Source organism: Homo sapiens, chromosome 5 (assembly GCF_000001405.40).
Source record: "Homo sapiens chromosome 5, GRCh38.p14 Primary Assembly".
Taxonomy (NCBI): Eukaryota; Metazoa; Chordata; class Mammalia; order Primates; family Hominidae; genus Homo; species Homo sapiens.
Genome location: NC_000005.10, coordinates 161,608,519 through 161,617,288, shown reverse-complemented (window position 1 = coordinate 161,617,288; position 8,770 = coordinate 161,608,519). Strand labels below are relative to the sequence as shown.

Here is an 8,770-nt window from a genome sequence, read left to right as displayed (position 1 = left end):
AATAACATTATAGTTATGTTGAGTTTAAGTCCGACATCTGGCTATGTGTTTCCTAAAAGTTCTGCCTGATACTTTGCTCCATTCTTCCTTCTTTTTTTGTCCTAGTTGAGTACTTCATATTAGTTCATCTGATCTCCCCTTGTAATCTATTAGCTATATTTCTTTGTTTTATTTATCAGTGGTTGCTACTCAAGTTAATATTATACCTTAACATGTATAATTTTATTTGCCAAATCTGCTAATATTTTACTTCTGTGAATATCAGTATTTATTGCCCTAAACAGTTAGACATTTTTAAATAAGAAAAATATAACCTATTTTATATACCCACATATTTACTATTTCCAATTGTCTTAATCTTTTCTTCACTTTTTCATGACAGATTATTTTAGTTTTTATTTCCTCCATCCAAAAGAATTTATTCTTCTTCTATTAAAGACATTTGGAAAATACTAGGTTCATAGCTCCTTTCACTACCACCCCCAGTACTTAGAAGATATATTTTTATTTCATGGCTTTCTTTTTTTTCTGATAATAAGTGAGTTATCATCCTTACTGTTGTTAAATCCTTATTATTGTCCATTATATTCGACTGCTTTTATCATTTTTGTTCTTTATTTTTGTTTTTTATAGTCTGATATAATGCCTACAGGTGTGTTTTTCTTTTTTGCTTTTGTTTTTGCTTAGAGTTTTGTGGATTCTAGGTCTATGGCTAAATACATTGTGTCATTTTTAGAAATATTTTCACTATTATATCTTCAAATACTTATTTTCTTCTCTATTCACTCCTCTGCTTGATAATTACATATTATCATTTGGTATTATAATACAGGCCCTTTTTTGAGATGGGATCTTGCTATATTGCCCAGGCTGATCTTGTACTGGGCTCAAGTGATCCTCTCACCTCAGCCTCCAAAAGTGCTGAGATTACAGATGTGAGCCACTGCACCTGGCCATGATACAAGACTTACAGGCTCTATTATGACTTTTCATTTTCATATATTCTGTGTTTCAGTTCAAATAATTTCTAGTGATGTGTCCTTGTAACTGTTTGCCAACTTAAATTAACCAAAAGGGTCAGAATCGAATTTAAAAAGCTTATTCTAGCACAAAGTGTGAGAATGGACCACCTGGAAACTCCAACTGCAGAGCAATGGAGTCAGCATTCCGAAGCAGAGAAGTTAGTGTTTCATTCTATAGGCAGAGACAAAGGAGTTTTTTGGAAGATTACAACATTATTCACACAAGTTTGGCACATAGTTACGGCATTTTGACTGGTTATAGTCAGTGCTTCTTTTTAGGAAATGAACATTTAACATGTTTTACACAAGATGTAATAAACATGGGTTTTCTGTCATCTTGTCTAATCAAAGCAGGACAACAAGAAGTTAATCTATAATAAGGGTCATTAATTAGAAAAGCAGGATTTTTTTGTTCCTTACATCATTTAATTCTCTCCAGTCATTGTAAAGAATTAAAAAAAAAAGAAAGCGATTTAATCTATAATCTAAGAACAGAAGTTGTAACCATACGTGACTTGGATTACAGTCACATCTTTCTCAAGGCTTAAAGTGTTTGGGGGGTTCTAGCATCTTTGATATTTTATTTGTTTTCACATGTTGATTCATTTTTCTGCTATGTCTAGTCCGTCCAAAGATCTTTTATACTGTAGATGATATATTATTCTCTTGTAATAATTCCATGTGGTTCCTTTTTAGATTTTTCCATCTCTGCTTTGGCTCTCCATCTGTTTACCTATTTTCATCATGTTTTCCTGATTCCTCTCATATATGTATAAAACCCATTTTAATGTATATTAAGCCTGCTTTAATGAATTTTATTGCTAATTCCAGTATCTGGGTCATCTGTAGGTCTGTTTCTGTTTTTTCTTTTTAATTTTGTGTTCAATTTTCCTCTTTATTGCTACACATTTTAAATTTTAGCTGCACACCGGACATTATGCATACCATGTTGTAGAAAATCTGAATTATGTCATCATTTCTAAAAAAAAGTGTTTTGTTTCAGTAGGGAATTAGAAAATGGGAAGTTTGATTTATCTTATTTAAGCTCTGTTCTAAGTGGGGCTGTTAAGAATACTGGTTTTGCTCTTAGAACTAGGATGTAGCCGTTTATCTTTACTTGTAAGACATGGTTCTTCTGGGATTTCCATGAAAATCCCAAGGTGTTTACTGAACCCCTCTAACTTGTTAAGACTTGAACCCCAAATGTTTCTCAAACATAGAGCTGCTTTAATTTCTGCCCAAGTCTTTATTCTCCCAGATGCAGCCTGCTTCTGTGTTTTTGTAGGCCTTGCACCTAGAAGGTTCCAAGGTATATTAGAGGTTCCTTTGGAGAAAAGCTATTGAATTCCAAAACTCTCAGAATTTTTTAAAATCCTTTTTTTAAAAAGGATTGTTTCTCTTCTAGTTTCCAGTGCTTTAGACAATTGTTTTATAGCAGTATTTTAATAATTGCTTATTATTGTTATTAGCAGAATAATTAGTATAAATCAAGTTACTCTACCTTTATTGAAACTAGTTTTTGAGTATTAATCTTAAAATTTGCTTACATTAATAAAGCACTTTCTGTAAGAAACAGCTACTATGTTTTGCATGCATTGTTAATTACCAAAAAACGTTTTGTAAGATACTTACTATTATTATTCCTGTTTTTCAGATGAGAAAACTGAACCATAGAGAATGAGGGTTCCTTCCCCAAAGCACATAACTGAAAGAACTGCCCGGGGAGTTTCAGTTCTAGAGTTTAAAGATAGGCAATGTGGCCTGTGGTCTTTATACATTGCATTTATTCCTTGCTACCAAAAGGTGATTAAAATGTATCTATATTATTATTTCCATGGCTCAAACACACACTTTTTCTAAGATGTTAAGTAAGATATTTTCTTTGGCTCTGTAGAAGGACCACACAACTAAATTTTGTAATGCTTGAGTATGATGTCTGTCTCATGACTCCTTCATATTTAGTAACTTATTAGACTGTTGCAATCTCTCAAATATACATCCAATACCATTTGAATTGTGCATTTCCACAAATCATATTAACTCAAAGTAGCTATAACTGAATTTACCCATGAATTAGTATTTTCAAATAACTTTATACTAAAGGTCACTTTTCAACTGAGGTGAATAGAAAATATGTATTGGAATGACTTACCTTCATTTTCATCAGAGTTCTGACATCTCTGCATTATTTCTTTGATAATAATTTTTATATCTGAAAATAGATATGGTTGAAGTCTTTCTCTGTATATATAAAACATGAGAGCATAGAAGTAAAGTGACATTGCCTAATGTCACACAGCTCTTTAGGGACAGATTTAGAACTCAGGTAATAAATTTACCTCTTTTTGAAACTTTAAAATTTCTTACATTTAAAAGAAAGTATAACAAAGATTATTTATTAGTAAAATAGCATAAATCTCTTGCCCATGTCTATATAACCTCTGAAATAGTGTTGATTAACTCATTGGGTTTCCATAAAATGGCTGTTTTGGATTGAATTTATATTAAATATCATCACAGCATTCAATTTTCTCTTGGTACACTGGCTCCCTAAAAATTCTTAATAACTGCTTTTATTTATTATGAAATTTTACATCCTTTCAATTGCTCAAGTCAATCATATATTTTCTTTATCAACTATTTCAGGGACATGCATAGCCAAATCTAATCATGTATAAGTGAACAGTAAAAACCTTTTAGTGCTATATTCTAGAAAACTGGGAGAAAATCACCCAAAATCTCCAGACGTCGCTTCAGGAGAGCCATGTATCTTTAAATAAGCTATATCACCTGGATGTGAGCCAAACCCAACATGTTCTTCACATGTGTTCATAACTTGTTAGGTGCACTATAGTTTATATTTCATCCTAATAGTATTATAAGCATACATTCTCATTCTCAAAGTTGGTGGTAATATCATCATAAGGTTATGCTATCATCATAATACTAACAGCCATCATAAGATCTGCTCCTCAACTTTAGAGTACAAATTCATTGTTATTTTTACTTGTATGCAATGGAAATAATTTGGCCCAGAGAGGTGAAGTGATTTTCTCAAAGTTAAACAGATTGCGAGTGAGGATAAAAATTGAAATCTTATTCATCTTCCATACAAGGGGCAAGTTTCCTATGGGATGTGTGTCTTCCTCCATATGTGTATGTCAGTGTGTAATCAAGACTTTATAAGTTATACTGAGATGATGGAAAGTCCCAGAGGCTTATCCAGAGCATTATCTATTGGTGACAGTTATGACCAGGCAAGAGGGGACATAAACACAAACATTTTCTTGTCAAAAACGTGTGGGAGAAACTGTAGTAAACAAAGTCAAGCAGGGTGTTTTTTAGTGCCGGCATTATCTGAAATTGTCATATGCTAATATGCACGTACGTTTCTAAAAGGGAGATAGAGATGTTTCCCAACATTATTTGACAAGAGGATTTTTTTCTCCAAAGAGCATCTATTACAGTAAATATATTAAAGAATACATTTAGAACAAAATCTTTTTTATAGGTTTAGCCTCTCATACAATTCCCAGGATACTGTGGCCACTTGATACAATTCTGCAGAAAGAATAAATGGTAATTAAAATTGCATGTACATTCATAATAATTTACATCTAAGGTCCATCCATTATCAAATCCTGGTTCAGAAAGTGTCACCATCTTGTGGTGATAAGGAGATAGTTTATCTTTATGACAGTGACCTCAGTGGATGGAGATATATTTAAAAGACTTTTAGCTTCACTCTATATACTGATGAGGCATCATCACTCTTCATCTCATTTAACTATTGTCTTTTAAAGTGACTGCTTTCTAAAAGATTAATAGAACCCATTATTGTATGTGAAATTTTAACTGGGTTTAAACAGCTACAGAAACACTATCACCGGGGAAAATTGCCATGTTATTTTCAGAGACAGAAGTTTGTGAATTGACAGCACTTTAAGTCTCTTTCAACTAGAAAGTGAATTTAAAATAAATAAATAATAAATAAATAGGCTAGCCAATTTTTATTTACCTGGAAGCACTGATTTTATTTGCCAATGGAATAAGATATTATATTAAAATATATTAGAAAAGAAAACACAAATAGTAGCAATCATGGCTTCTAAGTTTATGCATAAGAGGAAAAATTCATTCAGATTGTTGAATGAAATAAATTTTCTAAAAAAACTATCTGCAGGGGGAGGAGCCAAGATGGCCGAATAGGAACAGCTCTGGTCTACAGCTGCCAGCGTGAGGGACGCAGAAGACGGGTGATTTCTGCAATTCCAGCTGAGGTACCGGGTTCATCTCACTAGGGAGTGCCAGACAGTGGGCGCAGGTCAGTGGGTGCGCGCACTGTGCGTGAGCCAAAGCAGGGCGAGGCATTGCCTCACTTGGGAAGCGCAAGGGGTCAGGGAGTTCCCTTTCTGAGTCAAAGAAAGGGGTGACCGACGGCACCTGGAAAATCGGGTCACTCCCACCCAAATACTATGCTTTTCCGACTGGCTTAAAAAACGGCGCACCATGAGATTATATCCCGCACCTGGCTCGGAGGATCCTACGCCCACGGAGTCTCGCTGATTGCTAGCACAGCAGTCTGAGATCAAACTGCAAGGCGGCAGCAAGGCTGGGGGAGGGGCGCCCGCCATTGCCCAGGCTTGATTAGGTAAACAAAGCAGCCAGGAAGCTCGAACTGGGTGGAGCCCACCACAGCTCAAGGAGGCCTGCTTGCCTCTGTAGGCTCCACCTCTGGGGGCAGGGCACAGACAAACAAAAAGACAGCAGTAACCTCTGCAGACTTAAATGTCCCTGTCTGACAGCTTTGAAGAGAGCAGTGGTTCTCCCAGCACGCAGCTGGAGATCTGAGAACGGGCAGACTGCCTCGTCAAGTGGGTCCCTGACCCCTGACCCCTGAGCAGCCTAACTCGGAGGCACCCCCCAGCAGGGGCACACTGACACCTCACATGGCAGGGTATTCCAACAGACCTGCAGCTGAGGGTACTCTCTGTTAGAAGGAAAACTAACAAACAGAAAGGACATCCACACCAAAAACCCATCTCTACATCACCATCATCAAAGACCAAAGGTAGATAAAACCACAAAGATGGGGAGAAAACAGAACAGAAAAACTGGAAACTCTAAAAAGCAGAGCGCCTCTCCTCCTCCAAAGGAACGCAGTTCCTCACCAGCAATGGAACAAAGCTGGATGGAGAATGACTTTGACGAGCTGAGAGAAGAAGGCATCAGACGATCAAATTACTCTGAGCTATGGGAGGACATTCAAACCAAAGGCAAAGAAGTTGAAAACTTTGAAAAAAATTTAGAAGAATGTATAACTAGAATAACTAATACAGAGAAGTGCTTAAAGGAGCTGATGGAGCTGAAAACCAAGGCTCGAGAACTACGTGAAGAATGCAGAAGCCTCAGGAGCCAATGAGATCAACTGGAAGAAAGGGTATCAGCAATGGTAGATGAAATGAATGAAATGAAGTGAGAAGGGAAGTTTAGAGAAAAAAGAATAAAAAGAAATGAGCAAAGCCTCCAAGAAATATGGGACTATGTGAAAAGACCAAATCTACGTCTGATTGGTGTACCTGAAAGTGACGGGGAGAATGGAACCAAGCTGGAAAACACTCTGCAGGATATTATCCAGGAGAACTTCCCCAATCTAGCAAGGCAGGCCAACGTTCAGATTCAGGAAATACAGAGAATGCCACAAAGATACTCCTCGAGAAGAGCAACTCCAAGACACATAATTGTCAGATTCACCAAAGTTGAAATGAAGGAAAAAATGTTAAGGGCAGCCAGAGAGAAAGGTCGGGTTACCCTCAAAGGGAAGCCCATCACACTAACAGCGGATCTCTTGGCAGAAACCCTACAAGCCAGAAGAGAGTGGGGGCCAATATTCAACATTCTTAAAGAAAAGAATTTTCAACCCAGAATTTCATATCCAGCCAAACTAAGCTTCAAAAGTGAAGGAGAAATAAAATACTTTACAGACAAGCAAATGCTGAGAGATTTTGTCACCACCAGGCCTGCCTTACAAGAGCTCCTGAAGGAAGCACTAAACATGGAAAGGAACAACCGGTACCAGCCGCTGCAAAATCATGCCAAAATGTAAAGACCATCGAGACTAGGAAGAAACTGCATCAACTAACGAGCAAAATCACCAGCTAACATCATAATGACAGGATCAAATTCACACATAACAATATTAACTTTAAATGTCAATCGACTAAATGCTCCAATTAAAAGACACAGACTGGCAAATTGGATAAAGAGTCAAGACCCATCAGTGTGCTGTATTCAGGAAACCCATCTCATGTGCAGAGACACACATAGGCTCAAAATAAAAGGATGGAGGAAGATCTACCAAGCAAATGGAAAACAAAAAAAGGCAGGGGTTGCAATCCTAGTCTCTGATAAAACAGACTTTAAACCAACAAAGATCAAAAGAGACAAAGAAGGCCATTACATAATGGTAAAGGGATCAATTCAACAAGAAGAGCTAACTATCCTAAATATATATGCACCCAATACAGGAGCACCAAGATTCATAAAGCAAGTCCTGAGTGACCTACAAAGAGACTTAGACTCCCACACATTAATAATGGGAGACTTTAACACCCCACTGTCAACATTAGACAGATCAACGAGACAGAAAGTCAACAAAGATACCCAGGAATTGAACTCAGCTCTGCACCAAGCAGACCTAATAGACATGTACAGAACTCTCCACCCCAAATCAACAGAATATACATTTTTTTCAGCACCACACCACACCTATTCCAAAATTGACCACCTGCTTGGAAGTAAAGCTCTCCTCAGCAAATGTAAAAGAACAGAAATTATAACAAACTATCTCTCAGACCACAGTGCAATCAAACTAGAACTCAGGATTAAGAATCTCACTCAAAACCGCTCAACTACGTGGAAACTAAACAACCTGCTCCTGAATGACTACTGGGTACATAACGAAATGAAGGCAGAAATAAAGTTGTTCTTTGAAACCAACGAGAACAAAGACACAACATACCAGAATCTCTGGGACGCATTCAAAGCAGTGTGTAGAGGGAAATTTATAGCACTAAATGCCCACAAGAGAAAGCAGGAACGATCTAAAATTGACACCCTAACATCACAATTAAAAGAACTATAAAAGCAAGAGCAAACACATTCAAAAGCTACCAGAAGGCAAGAAATAACTAAAATCAGAGCAGAACTGAAGGAAATAGAGACACAAAAAACCCTTCAAAAAATTAATGAATCCAGGAGCTGGTTTTTTGAAAGGATCAACAAAATTGATAGACCGCTAGCAAGACTAATAAAGAAAAAAAGAGAGATGAATCAAATAGACGCAATAAAAAATGATAAAGGGGATATCACCACCGATCCCACAGAAATACAAACTACCATCAGAGAATACTACAAACACGTCTATGCAAATAAACTAGAAAATCTAGAAGAAATAGATAAATCCCTGGACACATACACTCTCCCAAGACTAAACCAGGAAGAAGTTGAATCTCTGAATAGACCAATAACAGGAGCTGAAATTGTGGCAATAATCAATAGCTTACCAACCAAAAAAAGTCCAGGACCAGATGGATTCACAGCCGAATTCTACCAGAGGTACAAGGAGGAACTGGTACCATTCCTTCCGAAACTATTCCAATCAATAGAAAAAGAGGGAATCCTCCCTAACTCATTTTATGAGGCCAGCATCATTCTGATACCAAAGCCTGGCAGAGACACAACCAAAA

The 8,770-nt window shown here is 36.8% G+C and overlaps 1 annotated feature.

Annotated features, from left to right (window-relative positions):
* Positions 5,511-6,012: an enhancer, noted in NCBI's record as "NANOG-H3K4me1 hESC enhancer chr5:161038283-161038784 (GRCh37/hg19 assembly coordinates)". NCBI's record gives its function as "activates a minimal SCP1, AML or CMV promoter by ChIP-STARR-seq in naive H9 embryonic stem cells {active_cell/tissue: H9 hESC(naive)}" and the evidence as "EXISTENCE:reporter gene assay evidence [ECO:0000049][PMID:30033119]".